General features: G+C 36.9%; 1 protein-coding gene across 3 annotated transcripts, besides 4 other annotated features; it reads right to left on the reverse strand.

Moving 5' to 3' along the window:
• Positions 1-598: 598 nt before the first annotated feature.
• Positions 599-14,557, reverse strand: LYSMD3 (LysM domain containing 3). Of its 3 annotated transcripts, none has more exons than NM_001286812.1 (3): positions 14,421-14,557; positions 10,008-10,273; positions 599-4,398 (listed from the first exon to the last, which is right to left on the reverse strand). In NM_001286812.1, the coding sequence occupies exons 2-3, from the start codon at positions 10,260-10,262 to the stop codon at positions 4,270-4,272; spliced, it is 384 nt and encodes a 127-aa protein (NP_001273741.1). In that variant the 5' UTR covers positions 10,263-10,273; positions 14,421-14,557; the 3' UTR covers positions 599-4,269. The 3 variants fall into 3 exon arrangements, with proteins under 3 accessions (NP_001273741.1, NP_938014.1, XP_047272650.1); NM_198273.2 differs by having other exon boundaries at positions 599-4,457; XM_047416694.1 differs by having other exon boundaries at positions 599-5,434.
• Positions 9,239-9,740: an enhancer, noted in NCBI's record as "H3K4me1 hESC enhancer chr5:89820083-89820584 (GRCh37/hg19 assembly coordinates)". NCBI's record gives its function as "activates a minimal SCP1, AML or CMV promoter by ChIP-STARR-seq in naive H9 embryonic stem cells {active_cell/tissue: H9 hESC(naive)}" and the evidence as "EXISTENCE:reporter gene assay evidence [ECO:0000049][PMID:30033119]".
• Positions 13,828-14,328: an enhancer, noted in NCBI's record as "H3K27ac hESC enhancer chr5:89824672-89825172 (GRCh37/hg19 assembly coordinates)". NCBI's record gives its function as "activates a minimal SCP1, AML or CMV promoter by ChIP-STARR-seq in naive H9 embryonic stem cells {active_cell/tissue: H9 hESC(naive)}" and the evidence as "EXISTENCE:reporter gene assay evidence [ECO:0000049][PMID:30033119]".
• Positions 14,594-14,843: a silencer, noted in NCBI's record as "silent region_16168". NCBI's record gives its function as "represses an Ori minimal core promoter by ATAC-STARR-seq in GM12878 lymphoblastoid cells {active_cell/tissue: GM12878}" and the evidence as "EXISTENCE:reporter gene assay evidence [ECO:0000049][PMID:35858748]".
• Positions 14,954-15,213: an enhancer, noted in NCBI's record as "active region_22780". NCBI's record gives its function as "activates an Ori minimal core promoter by ATAC-STARR-seq in GM12878 lymphoblastoid cells {active_cell/tissue: GM12878}" and the evidence as "EXISTENCE:reporter gene assay evidence [ECO:0000049][PMID:35858748]".

Below are 21,259 nucleotides of genomic sequence, written 5' to 3' on the forward strand. Positions count from 1 at the left end.
GCCCCAGGAGTTCGAGGCTGCAGTGAACCATCATGCTATTGCACTCCAGCCTGGGCAACAGAGCAAGAGCCTGTCTCCAAAAAAAAATTTAAAAAAACCTCTGTAGTAAAAATTACTATTTATTAAAAAAAATTAACACAATATTAAGATCAAGATGCATTTGAAAATGGAAGAAAAAAATCAGGGTTTATACACATTCCTCCATTAAATAAATAAAAGCTCCAAAGAACTTTCTCAATTTTTCTGCTAATAATCTTTTAAACAGTATTCTTGAGGTTGTTTTATAATAAATTAAAATCACATATAAAGAGAGCAGGTTATAATCTATAGATAATGACTCATCTACAACTTCATAGCAATTCCTGGACCATGCCTTACCAGATCTTACCCTGAGGAAAATCTCCCAAAGAACATTCATCTAAAATATTTCATCTATGTCTTACAAATAATCCAAGGTATTCTGCTTCACTGTAGCAAATAAGAAATCTGAATTGGTAAACCTTTGGCAATCTGCTCTATCTTACATAATATCTCTATATTAGATAGTTTGAAAGTGGAGAAAAGCTTTGCTTTATTCAATTAAATTCACTGGCTTCCATTTTAGATTGAATAAGAGAAACTTTATTACATGTTGGAGATCTTTCAAAATATGAAAAATAAGGGGCAAAAAATTTTAAAAACTGGTTTTACAGATACACATGCTAACAATGTTCTACAGTTACATTTGTATAAAATACATTATACAAAAGATTTATAGATTTTGCATACATAAAAATTAAAGCATTCAGATATTTCTATGATCTAACAGTGCAATATGCACATACGTGGAAGAAAATACTGATTACCTGAGCAACATTTTTGTAATGCAAATTAAAAATGAATCCATCAGTGCACCATTTAAATACAGACTTTAAAAAACTCCACCTTTACCCTGTAACACTGACTAGATCCTTGCTTCATGATATTTCTAAAACTAAGCATATCCTTCATATTTTCAACTAGGTAATTTTAGAAGTAGATACTTTAAAAAAGAACTAATTACTAAGTAGTGGTTCATTTAAATAACTCTTCAGGACACTGAACCAAGCAGGTAGAGTCCAGGAAAAGAAAAGCTGTAAATAAAAAGTCCTTTGGAGGAGATAATTTAACATGAGTCTTCTAATTTTTAATGTGGCCAGCAGAGTGTGTAACCATTTTTAACATATCTTTTGAAAATATGAACTCCATAACTTCCTAGGAGTGAGATAGCAAAGAAATTTTATTTTAACCGAGACTTCATAAAACTATCAGCTTTTTGTTTACTTGCTAACTCCAAAATTTTAAGTAAACCAAATGCAATGATTCTGCTGTTACTTTTACATTGCATACAAGTACATGCGTGCACACATGCAGACACACACACAGACACACATGTAAAGCAACAAATTCAAAGAAGGGTGTCAACACAATTAAAATCCATAATGTTAAACAATAACTGTGCTTGTTAGTTATACAAGGTAATTTGCATTTGATATAAACTTAACTTACATTAGTACTTTTTAGAAACTAAAATTATTCCAAATGTATTAAATGCTTAGAAAATTCATTTCTTTCCTAAACAGATTAGAACCATAATTCAATATGTAACCTTTATATAGAATTATATGTAACTCAAATTATATTCAATTAATTCAAATATATAATTTAAATACAGAAAAAAGAAAACTACCTGATGTGTTATAAGGATGTATATTTCCTTCAAAAAAGGATACTCTGCAAGACAAATGATTTTTAATCAACAAATACACAGCACACCTTATTCCTTTAAAAAATAAGTTACATATTTTGGAAATCGAACCCATAACAATTTCAAAGTACAACTAGCAAAAAAAGTAAGGAATCACTGACTGTAATTTCATCAATTTGATGTAAACAAAGTTCTTCAAAGGACACCTGGCCTGTTTACCCTAAAATAATCTGCATTTTCTTCCTTAAAACCTCATTTTTCAGCAGACTTAATAAATACAATGTAAAATGACCAGTTAACACTAAGCATAAATTATATCACACTCTTCTTTTCAAGATGCCCAAGGCACATTAAAACTACTTTTTAAATGTTTAATTTACTAAGAGAATCATTTGCAACTTCCCTATTAAACACTTTTTGGTAATTGTCTAAGGTCCTCTAATATTTGCAAGGGCTTTAATGTTTGACTTCTTTGTCCTGTCTTTTCCTGATGGTCTTCTCCTGAAAGTACATAAAACTGCATTTGCCATAAATATTTACTTATTCTGAGTTAAATTTGAAATATATAAAATGACTTATCAAAAGCCTGAAACATCAACAATTAGGAAATAATGCCCAGAAAATGAGGTGGTATTATATATCTTAAGTATATATTATATACAAAACAGGCAATCCAGACTCCACCAAATCTCATTTCTATTGAAGAATCATTCTGGTTACATTTTTAAAACACATACTTTTAAAGATTAAATGATGGAATCAGTATGCAAATGCTTCTTACTTAGCCAGACTGTAGCCGACTCAACAGATCTTAAAAAGAGGCACTACCACCCCCTTTCAAGCAATCTATACACCTTTGGCCTTTGTTTCCCAATTTGATGCTATATATAGAGATCAGGAAAAAAGTCTAAATTGGATATTTTCTCTTTGAAAAACAGAGGTTAAGGGATTACTAAATAATTTGTCTGTTACTGCTAATATAAAATACCTCTACTCTTTTTTGCTTAATGAACCATTTTCTTCAACAGACCTCAAAGGCAGTTTTGACCCAATTATTTGTGCTTGATGGTGAAAATGGAGACAAATTTATATAGCCTATGTAACGAATCTGATTGGACCATATGAAATAATGCTTATTTTTAATTCTGAAACTTGGATTTACTTACATAAAGCAGTAAGGCATTAAATGTAATTAAGGCATGTTACTGTATGTAACAGCAATGATTTATCACAGTATATAAGGAATTATTTCCTAAATAATGGTAATATGCACGTTTAATATATTTTTCATCATCAAAACTACAAAAGTGCTTTCAAATATCAGAGGCAAATATAATCATTTTAAAAACAGATGCACAGAGGTGAGGTTAAAGGGTCTGTCCTAAAGAAAGCATTCTTAAGACAAAAATTACTGTCAGGTCTTCACCTATTCCAGTGTTCTACTGACTTCCCAACCATAATACATTATTTTGGGGTCTTGAAAATATTTTAATCTATTTCTTGGCCTCTGTTGTAGGAATTATAAATCACTTTCCCCTTTCTCTTTGTACGTATGCTTTCATAGCACATGTGCTAAATGTATTTTTTAAAAGTTTTGAAGGGGTGTGTTACGTATCCTACCATGAATAATTTTAGAATCAAATTTTCTTGCAACTGAATATTTTGGGGGTTCATAGTAGTAAATTTTTTTCAGCTGCAGACATCTGATGCTATCATTCTGCATCATAAATTTAACATTAATAAACTTTTTAAAAATTACTTAAAAAAATAAAATTTAAACATGCATTTTAAGAAAAATGATACATCTTCCAAGTTAAGTACTTCCTAAACACACATTTAAATTAATTTCTGCTTGAAACATTCACACACCAGATTTATGGATCAACTGCTCTCAACATCAACAACTAGTTGCTCAAAAAATTTTCAAAGTGTGAAACCCTTTTGTTAAAAACAAAAGCATCCTCAATCTCTCTAAATTCTGCCTTTGAAGCTATTATTGGATATAACTGATTCACCACATTCCAGATGCACATGTGACCACTAACATTTGATTATGAGCTAATTGCTATGTTTCCTGTTGAGCAGCAGGTGACTGAGAATCTTGACTATACAGTTTATGATCATCTTGTTGGCTGAAATGTATTCCTTTAGTTGGCACAATTCCATTTTCCATTTCTCTCTGCTGTGATGGGGGTGTGATTTTTGAATGTAAATGTGAAGAGTCCACTGTTGAATGATGACTAACATCCACCTTAGCTAAAATTTCATAATACAACAAATAAAACACTGGTGTTATTATACCTACTATCAACATTATCACTACAGCTGTCCACCACCCTATTCCCCAGTCTGCTCCATAATAGGGGTCTTTACGTTGAGTGTTTTTGTTATCAGGTTCAAAACGCATTTGTTGTGCTGTTAAGGCCGATACTACCTCATTGAGGTTCTCTCTCTTATTGTCTGTACACTTTACTATTTGTTCTATGTCTCGGTCTACTTCTTTTAAAAAGCTACCAGCTGAGTCACTGTAAGCAAGAGAATCATTAGCTGGCAAAATTTCCTGTTGTTCGGAAGAGTATTGAACAGATGAATGACGTGAAGTCTGTCTTCCTTTTGGAGGACAAAGTGTTTCGGTCAAGGAACTGAACTTTTTTACTGGAATTTTGATAGACCTAAGGGCAAAAAAGTCTTGATCACTGATGAGATTGTTAACTCTCTTGATATCTGCTACCTGTGGGGGGGAAAAAAAAGCAACATACAACTGAATTCCAATCAAAATAAAGGCAGCAATAGTCATTCATTCTAGTTACTTTTGGAGGAAAAAAAAAGTTGAATTATTAGTAGTATTAAGTTGCACCCAGAGAAATTTTAATTTTATTTGTAGATGAGAATTCTACACCACTTTAGATGTACCAATCTTAGGAAATCACCAACTACTTTTTACTATCACCCATATATGTTAGTAACACTAATTAATGCTATTTAAGTAGATTCTAGAATCCTTTGCTGCTTCCCTTTGTGCATCATGCATAAATACCACAGTCCTTCTGCTTGTAAACAATTTGTGAAGGAAGGATTATGGGTAGTTATGTTCTTTATTCCAGTTTGGAAACTGGAATATAGACAAATGCTACCCAACTAAAACTACCATATTTTATCAAAACTAAGATGCCATAACTCTAAGATGCAGTATTATTTTATGTATATCTAGGGAAAAAAAAAACTTCACCAAAAATTGAAGATGCCACCATTCCAAAAAAAGATGCTAAAATGTGTGGAAAAGCATATATACCTTAGAATTTAAAAAATTGGTAATTTATCCCCCTTATTTCTGAAGCCATTTCCCTCCCAAACTTCTCAGTGTAAATGCATTATTCAACTACTTTCAAGATTAATCACTTTTATAAGCTTTTTCTCTATATATTATACATTCCTCAACCTGTTTGTATTATCCCATCCACTGTGAGATAACCTGTCTGTATATCCTATTCCACTGTGTTGGGGGAAGAGGGGAGTGTCTGGCAGATTACCAATTGGTATGCCAGGCTCTCCCACCATCTATTAGTCCCATTCATTTCCATCAATACTTTAAAACCTAATCATGTATCACCTGATTCATGTCAGAGAGATAAAGTGGGTCTAGTATGAAGCTTAGATTTCTGGTTTGGTCAACTTGATGGACGATGGCATTCATTGAGAAATGGAACACTGTGGAGGGTAAAAAGAGGCTAAATGCAGATTTTAGATATGCTGACTTGGAGCTGCTTGAGATACAGAAGTGGAAGATGTTCAGGACAGAGTTGTAGATATATGTCTGAAACTCAAGAACGATCTCGGCTAGAGACACAGATTTATGGACTATCAGCAAAAATGTAATTGAAGTCAGCCAGACGTGGTGGCTCATGCCTGTAATCCCAGCACTTTGGGAGGCCGAGGCAGGTAGATCACCTGAGGTCAGGAGTTCAAGACCAGTGTGGCCAACAGGTGAAACCCCATCTCTACTAAAAATACAAAAATTAGCCAGGCATGGTGGTGCATGCCTGTAGTCCCAGCTACTCCGGAGGCTGAGGCAGGAGAATTACTGGAAGCCGGGAGGTGGTGGTTACAGTGAGCAGAGATTGTGCCACTGCACTCCAGCCTGGGCAACAGAGCGAGACTCCATCTCAAAAAAAAAAAAAGTAATTGAAGTCAAAGAGGTCAAAGAGTAGAGAGATTCACTAGAAAAAGCCTGAGAGAAAAAAGCAACAAGATCATCCCTGAAGAACTCCAACATTTGATGGGTATGCTGAGTAACAAAAATCCACAAAGGAGATTACGAATGGCCAGGAAGGGAATATACAATAGTGGTTAAAAGCATGGATAACTGGGTTTGAGGCATGGCTTTGACACTTTCTAGCTGTATGACCTGGGGCAAGTTGTTTAACCTCTTTGCCATTAAGGTTCCACACCTGCAATATGGCAGTAATAATACTACCTACATTATAGGGTTGAGGTGAACATTAATGATTTAAATGTTGTAGGACACTCAGAACAGTGATTTATGGTATGTCATATAAAAGTTAGCTATTATTAAATGTTAATAGTAGGAAAACCAGAAACCTGAAAAGTCAAGGTGGTCAAGCAGAGAGGGTCTTTAGCAGGGAGTAGTGAACAGAATCCACTGTAGATTCGTGATCAAGTACAATGAAGACTAAAAGAGGTCAAGCTGGAAAAACTATCTTGCAATGTATGTGTGGGGGGATTGGAAGGAAAGGGTTGAACAATAACTAAAAGATGAAACAGTAAAGATAAAGTGTGTTTTATCATCTTACTACCTTCGCACTGTTTTGTCTTATAGCAAATGAAGATTCACTGAAAAATCCCAGTCTGACCCCATTCTCTTTAAATGCTCTTTTGCTTGGTATTGTGTACTCTTACTAATAACTACTTAATACTCTTTTTGAATTAGGGTTCCAAGGTTTAGTATCTACCTAAGTTATCTCCCTGAATATCCCTATAATGACTTCTATGCTATGCCAACTTCCTTGGTTGCATTCAAGATTCCAACCTTGGACTTTTTATTCTTCTCATCACAGTTGTATAACTGACAGATTTTTAATAATTCTTAAGATTATTTCTAAGTGGAATATACCACTAGCTACTTACTGTATTTTTTAAATGATAGATCCTTTTATAATGATAAATATTTTTATAATTTTTTTTGTTGCTTATGCTTCCATCAAAAAGGAGCACTGCTTATCTTAACTAATTCTGTTCATCCCTTTCCCACTATAGTGGCTGATATGTCCCCACCCAAATCTCATGTCATCTTGTAATCTCCAATGTTAGGGGTGGGGCCTGGGGGAGGTGATTGGATCATGGAGGTAGATTTCCCCCTTGATACTGTCCTGAGTTCTTGTGAGATCTGATTGTTTAAAAGTGTGTGGAACCTCCTCCCTCACTCGCTCTTCTTCCTGCTCCAGCCATGTGAAAATGCCTGCTCTGGCTTTGCCTTCTGCCGTTAAGTAAAAGCTCTCTGAGGCCTCCCCAGAAGTAGATGCTGCCTGCTTATGTACAACCTGCAGAACCATGAGCCAATTAAACCTCTTTTCTTATAAACTACCCAGTCTCAGGTATTTCTTTATAGCAATGTGAACACAGACTAATACAGTGGCCAATGCCATCTCTCCATTTAAGTACTTTTCATCATTCTCATTTCACATAAGCATTCAGCTGATATATCCTGTGATTTCCCCCAATACATTAACACTTCTTCTCTATCCTTATCACAAATATTTTAGTCTAAGTCCTGATCATCTTTATTATTCCAGTAATCTCTTTATTGGATCCCCTTCAATTCATCAGCAGGCCCCTCTGCTATTCTGTATCACTCCTGTTAAAACTCTACAATAATTGTATTCTCTTACTATATGGATCAAACTTTTCCATTCTGTATCACTCCTGTTAAAACCTTACAATATTTGTTCTCTTACTGTATGGATCAAACTTTTCCATAGTGTCTCAAAGCATTTCATCCCAAATAGTCTGTGCCACTCACTTCGGAAATAACTATGAAAATTCCCTTTGTTGTTTACCATATTTCCTCCTTGAAATCTTCTTCACATCACTGTTGAATGCCTGAAACATCTTTACACCTCATTGGAAATATGACCTATTTTTAATTATTCAGATGGTATGTTAAATTTCCCTAAGAAAATTTTCTAGGTTCATTAAAAGAAAGCTAATGTCTTATAAAACTACTGAATCACAAACTCTCCTCTCGGATCTGTACCTTGATGTTTTTTAGCCTTGTGTCTCATTTTGAAGTGTATTCCACCATCTACCTTCTATGACATATTCTGTAATTTATTTATCAATGGTCTTATTTCTCTACAAAACATTTACTCACATGTTTATTTGCATTTAGAAATAAACTTAGATATTTTCTGATTTAATAATGGCAAGAATTGATGTTTTCATACATGAGCAAGGTAGGAGGAAAAAACTACCCAGCTCTTACACCACATCAAAAAATTCATTTTAATAAAATATTTTATTAAATTTTAATATCAAAATTTGAAATGTTTTGATGAATTGTGAATTGTAATAAGAAATGTGAATTATTGCAATAGTTGCAAATGTAGAAGAAAACCTCATGACCATAATTTTTTTAGAATATAAATACATTTATATAATATAAACTTATAGACATGTGTGTTCCTATTGCAGAGAAGTATTACAGGTAATCAATAAAAGGTTTTTCAAGTATAAAAATACTTTACATCATGAAAAATTTGGGGGGAAGATGAAAATATTAATGAGAAAAAGGAATGATATAAAATCTCATGCTATTGAAAAAAGAGCTCTCATACACACACTTTCCACTTTTTTTAAAAATACAAATTTCAGGTAGCAAATCCTGGTGGTACTTAGAATTCTGTGGATGCATTTAAAGAGCACTCTAACAGTCTTATTTTTAAATGTTAATACAACATTCTGAAAATTATACCATTTGTAACTATGTTAAGTCATGAGGAAGAATTTAGGAAGTTCACTTAAAAATGTGCAATGAGGTACATAGTACATATATTTCAAAATTCTATTGGGAGTATGAGAACAAAAAGTTTGAAAACAAATGTTCTAACCAGTTTCCATATCAATGTGGATATAAAAATATCCTGCTAAGGCCTCAAGATGGACATAATGACACAGAGAGAAAATGGGTCCAAATAGAGTATAGTATCTATTAAAATTAAAAATACACCTTTCCTCTTATCTGGCAATCCCACTTTTAGGATCTATCCCACAGAAGTAAAGGCAGTGCCATTTAAAGATATAGTTGTGATGATATTTGCCACACAAGGTAAAACACCAAGAAAATCCTGAGTATCAATTAATAGGGCAATGGCTTAAAAATACTGGAACGTTAATACTACAGACATTATACAACCATTTAAAATAATGAGTTAATAAGGCTTTGAGGGATGGTCATGAGGGTGTCCATGATACACTAAAGAATGAAAAATGCAAGTTGCAGAGTAAAATGCATAATATAATCCACTTTTAAAAATACAAAGATTACTAACTCCCCAAATATGTATATATAAATAAATACTTATGAGCACAAAAAAAGGTAAAGCATTCCTACATGCCAAAGTGTTAATGCTGGTTATCTCAAGAAATTGGGGCAGGGAAAAGCTTTTCCTTACACATTTCCACATTTTCTTACCATTTGAATAAGAAGATAACATAGTTGAGTGTTTTTCAATACTGAAATTCGTGGATTTGGAAATACACAGAAATTCAAGTATTTGTTAAATATTTAAAAAGTAAACATCTACAAATGTGACACAGATTTCTTTTTTCTTTCCTTTTTTGGAGACGGAGTCTCGCTCGGTCGCCCAGGCTGGAGTGCAGTGGCGCGATCTCGGCTCCTGCAAGCTCCGCCTCCCAGGTTCATGCCATTCTCCTGCCTCAGCCTCCAGAGTAGCTGGGACTACAGGCGCCTGCCAACACGCCCGGCTAATTTTTTTGTATTTTTAGTAGAGACGGGGTTTCACTGTGTTAGCTAGGATGGTCTCAAGCTCCTGACCTCGTGATCCACCCGCCTCGGCCTCCCAAAGTGCTGGGATTACAGGCGTGAGCCACCGCGCCCAGCCCATGTGACACAGATTTCTATGCAAAAAATAAGAGCAAAAAATGGAGAAAGGAATAAACAAGGTAAAAAAGGACACAGAATTTATTTCAGTGTGCGTAAACAAATAATTTCTTCTGAATTGCATTATGTAATATTAAAACTTACCGTACAACAGTACTGAAGGGCTATTGCATTTAATGTATCTCCTTCTTGTATATCTTTTGTTAATACTATAATGTCGTCAAGTCTATCTCTTGATGTACTTCTTCGGACTTTCTCTTTTCCTCTGGATCGAAGTTCATACACTTCAGCATCCTCCTCCAAAATATCACTGTCTGAACAATTTCCAAATGCATGTACTTGACCACTTGACTGAACTCCTGGAAGAGGAAAACTACGATTCTGATGCCTCCCTGCCATAATGTTAAAATCTGGAGGAAAAAAAAAGCAGAGAAAATTTTGGAATGTAGCTGATCCAACTGACTGATTTGCATGCATCGTACATTCAGGACACAATCTTTTGTTTTTGTTTTAATGGTTTTAGTTATTTAAACATTTAGGTTTAAGTTCGTTTTTTTGTTTTGTTTTGTTTTGTTTTGAGATGGAGTCTCACTCTGTCACCCAGGCTGGAGTGCAGTAGTGCGATCTCAGCTCACTGCAACCTTTGCCTCCCAGGTTTAAGTGATTCTCCTGTTTCAGTCTCCCGAGTAGCTGGGATTACAGGCGCCCACCACTACGCCCAGCTAATTTTTGTATTTTTAGTAGAGACAGGGTTTCACCATGTTGGCCAGGCTGGTCTCGAACTCTTGACCTCAGGTGATCTGCCCACTTCAGCCTCCCAAAGTGCTACGATTACAGGTGTGAGCCACTGCGCCTGGCCTAGGTTCAGGTTTTACAACTGTTAAAGTAGAACAAACGTATTTGGCAGTGGAGACAAAGGTAAGGGAAGAAGAGGTAATCTCCTCTATTAGATCATATATCACTAAACACGTGGAGTAATTACATATTAACAAAGGCAAATTGCTATAATTCTTTTGGTAAAAATATAACTTATAAAATTAAATACTATAAAATATTACATTAAATATAAAATCGTAAATTCCCCTTATTCTGAGTATGTGAAGAAAATCAGAGAAATAATTGTGTTATGTCTTAAAAACTTGTGACTATATAACTTATAGCTCTGATGGAATCAAAGCATGTTTTATATACACATAATACTTTCATGAATTCAAAACTTTCCAGCTTGTTCTGCATTTCAACTTCATTCAGGATTGGAGTATCTTTCGTATTACTTCCTCCTGGACTTTGGTATTTATATTTAGTGCAGATATGCCTGCAATATAGGTTATGATTTTGCTTCCCTGGAAGCAGGAATTTTTCTTCCCTGGAAGCTTTTTAGCCAACTTAGAGTCCTCATCAAATTCAACTTATGGTCCATAAAGACTGTGAACAGATTTTAGGTTACTGTGTTCATTTATACTTTAGAAAAACCATTGTAAGACTGACTGGGAGCTGACCTAAGTTAAAAACAGGCATCAATGAATACTTTTTGTTTACTTGCATACTAACTCTCAACTCACCATCATCAAGTTGATCTATCTACTCTCTTTAATTAGGAACACAAGAACCTAAAAAACTAATTCCACATTCACAGTTTTGGCTTCGTGTTAATTATTCACATAAGAAGGGGCAGACTGCTTTCAGTTCTTGTTGGGAAAGATGGAGGGAAGTAGTAAGAAGCACTTTGGAGATAAAATTCTTTGCACTCAAGGTGGTTCAGACATGAAGAGAGGGAGTAAATTAAGCATCACACCAAGATTTCTGATTTGCATAATACATTGTGGTGCCATTCTCTGAGATATGGAAGAGGAGCTGGGGGAGGAGGTGCATGGCTATGATTATGAATTCCTCTAAGATAGTAAAAAGGAATGGCAAATAGACAAATGGGCTATATAGTCAAACTCAGAGAAAAGGTCTAGGTTAGAAATAAAATTTCATGACTAATTTGCACATAGATGAAAATGAATTTGTGAGTACATATATTACCTAGAGAGTATAGAAAAAGAAGAGGGTCCAAGACTGAGCCTTGAAGAAGTCCAAAATTCAGTATCTTGGTGAAAGGAAATCAGCCTGAAAATATGGATAAGGAGTGTCCAGAAGAGGGAGAAACCATGGAAGTGTTATGTCATGGAAGCCAAAGCAAAATAACATCTCAAAGACTCACTATTTTTTGAATACTATGGATGAGTACCAAGCGAAACAAAAACAAACAAACAAAAAACAGAAAAGACCAACTCCAAAACTCTGAGTATATAAAATGGATGACAATAAATTACAAAGGTTGAGAATCCCTAACCCAAAAATCCAATCTTAAATACTCTGAAATTTGAAATACTTTGAGTGCTGACATGAAGCCACAAATGGAAAATTCCACAACTGACGTTTCAGATTTCAGATTAGGAATGCTAAACCTGTACAGGTATTCTGGTGATGTGCTTAGGTACCCTGAACACATTATTTTTTCACTGTATTAATGGTATTTTTTTTTTTTTTTTTACTGTTAAGCACTTATGTGTGAAAAAGTGTAAGAAAATGACTGCTTATTAGTAGCATACAAATTCAGAGTTAGGAATGACGGTGATGCCAAACAACCACAAATTTTCCACAAGGGTGGCTGAGATAGTGACACTTTTACCTGCTGATGGTTCCAGGTACAAGAACTTTTGTGCACAAATCATATAAAATTACCTTCCGACTATGTGTATAAGTTGAATATGAAACACAAATTTCATGTTCAGACAGGTCCCATCCCCAATGTATCTTATTATGTATATGCAAACATTCCAAAATCCAAAGAAATCTGAAACACTTCCGGTCTCAAGCATTTCAGGTAAGGACTACCCAACCTGTACTTTCTAGGCATATACTTATCATAAAATGCTTTAAAACTATTTAATATAGTTGAATCCAACCCTTGAAAAGCACTTTCTGACCTTGCTCTAATGGCAATATTATAATGCTTTAAAAGCTCAAGAGTTCCTATTCAGATAACACAGATAACTAATAGCTATATGTTAAGTAGATTATTTCAACTGTTCTCTGAAGTGCTACATTATTACCAAGAACTAGGATTCCTAACTTGACAGCTATGAAACTAAAGAAAACTATCACATTTTATATCTCAAAAGCAGTTTTGAAGTCATGACCACATCTTTTCCTCCAAGGATAACAGTTTTATTTCCACTCATTTAACCAGGTCTTTTTTTAATCTTGTGTCTTTAACCTAGGGAATGTCTTTGAATCCTGTAGATTCCAGGCAAATTTTATACATATGTATATTTTTCTGGGGAGAATTTTCATTGCTTCATATTCTCAAAAGGCATCCATGATCAAAAAAGTTAAGACTTAATATACAGCAATTTACACTTGGCTATACCGACCTACTTATGTGTCTTGTTAGACAGTTTCACCCTAATAATTTGTACTTAGAACTTCAAAATTGGCTTAGTAGTGCAGCTAACTGAAAATCACTAAGCAATGCCCCAAAGCCATTTTAGATACTTGTTTCTATCAACCTCTCTCCACGATATATTTCTAAATATAATTTAAAGGTCAGAACTTCACCTGTCTCACTATCTCTCCACTCCCCTTTATAATGAAATGCAGGCAGCTGACTATCGTGTTACAAATCTGGGTATTCTGAATGATCAAGAACTGGCTGTGTCTTCAACCGAAGTGAACAGACTGACCCAGGCGATCACTCCAGTCTACTACTCAGAGATTAGAAAATACATAATATTTAAGTCATCTGGCTCAATTCTATTCACCTCTCTTAATTCTCTTAGAGCAGGAAAAAGGCACGAACTCCCTTTCAGAAACTTGGAACAAGCCTGCGTGCTACCTAGATTACGAGGGGCCACAAAACAGTGTTAAAGCATTCTTCAGCTCAGTCTGTAACTGAAAACGGTTTCCCAAACACCTTCGTACTGTAGAATGGCTGCTGGGTGTTTCGCCTTGACCTTCTTTAACTAAGCAAGGTGCAATAAGAGGGTCACAGGGCACAAGTTAAAGCTGCAAAGGGACAGAATCAAAGGCACCCTATCCGCTGCCAGGGACAATTTTGTTTTTTAAAACTTAACTACCTCCTCCCTCTGTATTCCACACGTCAAGTTTTTCTTTCCCTGCTATCGTCAGCGAAGATTACGTCTCAGAGTCTTCTGTCACAGCATGACACTTGAACGATGTGACAAGATGCCGTCAGCGAATATTTCACGCCAACATAAAGTCGTGGGAGAAATGCTGTGTTTGGGTGGGAAATTAGCTGCCCAGGTAATCCAGCAGGTAGGCGTCCTTCCTCTGAGCCTCAGTTTCCCCGACAGTGTGACAAGAGGGCCTGGCAGGGCTGGTCTGGAAGTTCTTCCCTGTCTCGGGGGTGTCCGCCACACGGGCCGAGCCCGGCCCTGCAGCCCCCACCACACCTGTGGCCGAGGCTCAGCGCCTCCCGTGAGGACGCAGCTGGGGCTCAACCCCGCCCTCCTGGACCGGGCTACCCTCACCTCCTGCCACCATCTTTACCTGTCCCCGTTAGCAGGGAGCACTCTGCGAGAAGATGGCCAAAAGGTCCGCCGCCGCCGCTGTCCCGGGTAAGTTCATGGCCGAGCCTCTGCTTTGGGCTGACCCCGTCCGCCTCCGCCTCTGCCGCCAACGTCTCCGCCTTCCGGGCCGTACGCCGCCGCCACGTCCGCAAACCTGAGATGCGTCATCGCGTCAAGTGGGCGGAGGTGGGAAGGGGCGGGGGAGGACGCGGAGGGCAGCCCAAAACGGGGGAGTCCAACCACAGGTCCACGCCCGGCACGCAGGCGCAGGGACTCCTCCGGGGCCCGGGGGCGGGTCCAATCCCCGGGCCCGGGGGCGGGTCCAATCCCCAGCCCCGCCCTTGACTCCGCTCCTTCCGTGCCGCTTCACTCCCCGAGGAAAAGATTTGGTGGCCAAGTCAGCGGATCCAACCCGCGACCACCAGCGACCTACTGGCTGCGTCTTTGTCCAGCGTCCACACTGCGCTGGCAGAGACTGTCGGGTGCACCCTGAGGACGAGGCGTGGCTCAGGATGTGTCGGGGAGCTGTCTTGCATTTTTTTCTTGCTGTGCATCTCGAATTTTCTTTAGGGTGGGAAAGGACACCTCAAAAACACTGTTGACATCACGGTTTCAGAAAATTGCGCCATGTTTGTTACCCTTTTCATGCTGAAGACTCCAGACTGCTGCAGAAGAGGCAGAATTCTGGAGAGAAATCCTTGGGGGACCGAGGACGAGGGTTGGAGGGGGTTGTCTCACCCTTCCTGTTTTTAGGTGAGGGAAGTGAGCCACCTAGAGTCAGGCCCCAGGAAATGTTTTCCCTGGCTCGAGGAGTCAAGGGAGTCAACAAATTGTAATCTAACTTATTTTGGTTTGAAAATTAACTGAGTCATTGGTAGTCACCATTGGACTCTATGGAATATTAGCTTATTAAATAAACTCATGACTTCATACATGATTTTTATCACAAATGTGTTAAATGAGTATCATAATGTGTTTGAATTTATGTATGACTTTGGCAAAAGCCGCAACTACTTTTGCACCAACCTAATTAATGAATGTAAAGCATTTTAATGAGTCTGATGTCTCTCAGTGTTGATATTAGAGACGTTGCACTTTGACAACCATGCTAACTGTTACGACAATATCCATTTTAGGCACAAATAGCTGGGGTGCAGGGTGCAGAGCAGTGCTTTTCAGAATGTCTGAATATTTATACATTAGAAAGCCTTTGAAGCTTGGTTTTAAATTGTTTTTCAAAGAGTATGTTTTTGGTTTTCTGGTAAGTGCCTCTGCAAAGGTTAGGAGTTTTGCATTGCAATAGTTTTCTTTTATTAGCAGGGATAGGCACTGTGCTTCCCAGCGCCACAAAAAAAAACTGCAGGAGAAGACTTTTTTAAAAAGTTTGTCTGAATTGTTCTGTGTGTTGTTGCCCTCATGACACCCCTGTCTGTAACCATTTATCACTGAGACGTTCTCTCATCAGCAGACAAAGGATATATTCCCTGCTTGATATGTAGGACTTCGGCTGCTTAGCCCTCATGAATGTTAATGGGAATACAACCTTCTTTCTGTCTATAGGTTACTTTTCTTATTTTAATGTCAATAGACAGCGGAATTAATGTGAGAGCCAAAGTGATAGATTTCAAGCACTTCTATAGGACCGATACCTGTATCCTTCATATAAATAACTTTCTCAAAGATATCTGCATGCTCTTGAATAGTTATTTGTATTTAACAAGGATGCAAATATTAAACTTTTTATAAAAATGGAAGAATAGGATTATATTTTATTATTAGAATATACAAAAGAAGCAGTTAGCGTGAATTTTGGCCAAGTTCCAAAAAGCCGGCCAGTAGGAACAAGCATTTTGTCTTTGAGAAAAAGGATGTCCCCAGTGCTCAGCAGAGCCAAAGGATTTTTAGTGTTTCAAGATTTCACCTGACACAGTTTCTGTTAAAACGCTATAGATGAAAGAATATGTCATTTCTAGGAATATGTGTTTTAGTCACTAACGTTTAGTTTTTGTGAGTTGCCCTAGAGTAGAAGTTGTACTGAAGTGAGAGTGTAAATTGATGCAACCTGTTAGGCAATATCTATCAAAATTTTAAATGCAACTGACTGAACTATTACATTGCTAAGTAATTACCTTAGATTTACTTACAGACACATATGTGCAAGATTTAACAGATATGTTCAGGAATGTTTGCACAGTAATAGCCAAAATCTGAAAATATTTTAAATGTTTATCAGTAGTTGACTGATACTTCCGGTACATTAAAACAATATAATGTTATACTTGGTTTCAGAAGAGTGAAGTTAATCTGGCATTTGCTGATTTATTCATTCATTTACCTAATAAGTTTCTGTTGAAGAAAAACAGTGCTTAAAAAGACAAATTCCCCTTACTTATGGAGCTTGAATGACTGAAGCGTGTAGAAAGATCTTTAAAATGTATTTTAGTCTATTTTAGGAAGAAAAAATAGGAGGTATGATATTATTTCTATGGAATAAAATTTCAAATAAGCATCCCTCATCCTACCCCCCGTACCCCACCGACACACATATACACATACACATTCACACACACATATATGCAGAGAGATGCACTTAATTTTTCTATCTGGAAAGTCACTCAAGGAATTTTAACAGTGGCTGAAAAGGACTAGACATGGCAGGGGAGTAGGCAGGAAATTTTGCCTTTTCCTCTTAGAACTTTCTATATAGACTGAATTTTTATTACTACATGCTTTTATTATATTAAGAATTAACACATTTTATTTCTAAGTAACTGGACTTGTTTATTCTGGAGCTAACCTATAGTTAACCATCCATCTCTTAGTCATTCCTGAGTCTGTTTGTACTTTGTATTCAGGCGGCAAATGTCTGGAGAAAAGAACCAGATCAATTCTCTTATAAATCAAAAAATGAAAGGGTAACAAAACATTGAATTCTTTTTACACGTCTTCTTGATTTTCCTCTTTCTGATTTCTTTCAACCCTGCTCTTTTACTCTCTCCTCCTTCCTATTATTCCTATTTCTATCCTTATAGCAGCCTTTTCTATCCAGCTTCTACTTTTCAGAAGCAGAACTAGAAAGAACTGTTGGACAATAAGGAAATACTTTAAGTAATCTCAGATGAAGTTAAAATTGGATTATGGAGTGAAACTTAAAAAAAAAAAAAACTCCCACATCTCTGATCTTCAAATAACCTATGTAGAGAGAAAATTATTGTGTCTCTTCTCTCGAAGTGTTGGAAAAAAACAGACTGGATGATTTGGATATGTTCTGCTAGCAGGTGTACCACATGACCTCTCTAGCTGCCTTTAATCCTGTGATTTTTAAACATAATGATTATTGTAATCATGGCTTTGCCATAATGTGGACAAAAGAAGAGTCAGATATACTTCAGGAATCCAAAGCTGTTTATAAATGCTAGTAATTAATTCATGGATCTTAAACATGACTTGAAAACAACCATCTTCAAGTCTTCATCCATGCAGACACGATGAAAACTAGCCTCACAAATACTATCCTTATACTCTTTAGCTAGGTGGTTGGTACATGTAGAAAGGAACAGTTACATCTTTATATTTAAGTAGACTATAATTTGAAATGCTTTGTTTCCCATGTCTCTTATAATCACTACTGTCACATAGGCAAATCAGTGCAGGTGAATTCCCCCAGAACCTGCATCCTGCTTGTTTTCGTGCCTACTTCTCCAGAGATTTAAGATGATAAGACAGTATGTAATTAAGTTCACTAAACCAAAGGAAAACCTGAGGCATGACCCAGTCTATGGAATTGGGTGATGATAGATAGTGATCACCCAGAAGTGGAGAGCAAGTCAAAATGGAGTACAGAGAGTGGACGTCCAGTTTGATTTCTTAGGTCTTCAGCAGTGCATTCACAGAGACAGGAAAGATAGGGAGTGGGGAAGAATAAAAGGATAATGGGAGAGGCAACAGCATCTTCTCTTTCTAGTCTAGGTCTTTCCAGATAGAGACCACTTCTGTGACAATCCTCAGCTTAGTCAACACTATCTGACAAAACCAAGCAAGAATTTCAAAAGCAAAACTTCCGTGCTCATTTAAAGAATAATAGTGAGGTGTACATGCATACCTAAAATGAAGGTAGTTGCTTATCTGACAAAATATAGACAGAAATTACATCTGTTCATTCAACAAATGTTAATTAAGCAGCAACTGTGTTTCAAATCCTGCTTTAATAAAGCATCAGGGACATGCAATGAACAAACAAACCCAAATCTTTGCCCTCTTGGAGCTTATGTTCTTGTGATGAAAGATAAAAACAAAATAAATAAATGAAATTGTGTTAGATGGTGATAAGTGAATGGAGGAACACTGAATAGGGTAGGAGCTGCAGTGTTTTGGGTTGGGGGAGAGTCTCCACCCTATGAAAATTCTCTATCCCTGAGAGAGGAACTGTGCCTAGAGTATTGGAGGAACAACAAAGATACCAGCATGGCTGGAGCAGATTGCCGAAGCAGCGAGCAGTAGGAGAAGAGGTCAGATAGAGCCAAATGGGAAAGGACTCTGTCAGCCACTGCAAGGACTTGGGCTTTCACCCTGAGCAAGATGGGAAACGATTGGAGGGTTCTGAGCAGAGGAGGTCATCATCTACCCTTTAAAAGGATCCCATAGGAAAGTGGAGGCAGCAGCAAGGAGATCAGTTAAGAGGAAATTGTAGTAATTCAGGCAAGAGGGAAGATGTCTCAAATTAGGGAAAAACATCAAGTATCACATTGATGTGGGTTAAAAATACTTGATTTAAGAATTTTTTCAAAGCCCCCGACTCTATGAGGATGCTCAATTTTAGTTTTAAAGATATTTTTCACTAGTTCCTTCTTGCATACTTTGATTAGTGACTCTGTACTAGGGCCTGTTTTCCACATTAATTCTAAATAAGCCAGATTTACCACTGTAGCAATTGTTGGATCTAAGTAAAGTTTCCATTCTGCCCTCTCACCATGTTTTCTTTTATTTACAGTTAAGATTGAGCTGAATTTTTTCCCCTTATTCCAAGCCTTAATCCTATCTGGCTTCTAAATCCCTTCAGAATTATTTGAAGCAAAGAATGCCTGCTGATTTCAAAAAACATTTTACACTTGGACTTACTTGATGGGGTATATAGCAAGGGTCGTGGAGGCTTCCTTCCTTTCCATGCAGAAAAATGTGTTTGGAAATGTATATACTAATCAATGAGCAATCTGTTAGTAAGAAACATACAGAAGCTCATTTCTTTGATTTGTTGTTTTGAAAAGTACTTATTTTTCTTTGGAGTATTTTTCAGTTTAAAATCTAATCTGTTATTTTGTAGAATAATCAATTTATATTAGTTGAAACTTGATTAACTTTCCTTTTATTACCCTGTCCTTAAGATCATACTACAGATTTGGTTATATATCACATAACAATATAAATGAACACTTGTTTTATAAAGATTTCTAATTCTATTGTTTCAGTCATTTCATTGAAAGATAAATATTACTACACCAATCTTCTAAGGAAAATTTCTTGTGTGTTATTCCTGGCTTTGTATAAGATAATGTTTATAGGCATTGTATGTAATGCTGATGCAATAGAAGGCATTATATTTAAAAAGAATGGCTTTACTGTATACAAATATTAGGATTGCTTGTAAGGCAAAGCCATAAAAGCATTGCGTAATCTATTCTAATAAAATAGATACGCTAGCCCTTTGACTTTATTTGGTTTTAGCAACTGAACAGGATAGAGTTTCGAAATGAATATGGTGAAAATAGACAAAAGGATTTATAGTAAATTTTTTCCTCCTGCTCTGTGTTACCTCCCATGAGCCTTGTTCACCTTTTTCTCAATATCTGCCATTACTCATTAAAATTCTGGTTTCATAAAAACTACAAGTAGAGACTGCTGTTGCTTGTTGTATGTGTGTAATGACAGCACTCAAATGCATTGCTAAAGGACTGGAAAACACAAGCAAGGATTATGATAAGAATGGTAACAACAACCACTTTCAACATGTATAAAGTTAAGGCAGTCTGCGCAAAACTGACATTTTGATAACTATACAAGGTGTTGTCAAAGTATGATCTCAGAACCCCTGCCAATCCCCAAGACTCCTTAGTAGGGTCCTCAAGTACTTTCACAATAATTCTAAGAAGTTATTTGCCTTGTTCACTGGGTTATCACTTGCACTCAGGTTACTCTTGTACAGCCATGGGAGATGAGCCCACAGAGAGCCAAATGGGATAGGACTTTGTTAGCCACTGCAGGGACTTGGGCTTTCACTCTGAGCAAGACGGCAAACAACTGGAGGGTTCTGAGCAGAGGAGGTCATCATTTACCTTTTAAAAGAATTTAATAGGAAGGTTAGGGCAGCAGCAGAGAGATCAGTTAAGAGGCAATTGCAGGCAGATGCGGTGGCTCATGCCTGTAATCCCAGCACTTTGGGAGGCCGAGGCGGGCGGATCATGAGGTCAGGAGATCTAGACCATCCTGGCTAACACGGTGAAACCCCGTCTCTACTGAAACAAAAGCAGAAAAAAAAAAATTAGCCAGGCATGGTGGCAGGCACCTGTAGTCCCAGCTACTCGGGAGGCTGAGGCAGGAGAATGCCATGAACCCGAGAGGCCGAGCTTGCAGTGAGCCAAGATCGTGCTACTGCACTCCAGCCTGGGTGACAGAGCAAGACTCTGTCTCAAAAAAAAAAAAAAAAAAAAAAAGGCAATTGCAGTAACTCAGGCAAAAGGGAGGTTGACTCAAATTGGAGAGGAACACCACATACCACTTTAAAAGTGTTCCTTGATTAAGCAGTAAATATATATTTATTGTATT

This window comes from Homo sapiens, chromosome 5, assembly GCF_000001405.40.
Source record: "Homo sapiens chromosome 5, GRCh38.p14 Primary Assembly".
NCBI lineage: Eukaryota > Metazoa > Chordata > Mammalia > Primates > Hominidae > Homo > Homo sapiens.

What these genes read in the sequence shown, in the direction of transcription:
- LYSMD3 (NM_198273.2), bottom strand. Translation starts at nt 10,262, where the DNA reads ATGGCAGGGAGGCATCAGAATCGTAGTTTTCCTCTTCCAGGAGTTCAG. An exon ending in CCCTTCAGTACTGTTGTACG is followed by an intron (nt 4,458 to 10,007) that starts GTAAGTTTTAAT and finishes TCCCCCCCACAG; the next exon opens with GTAGCAGATATCAAGAGAGT.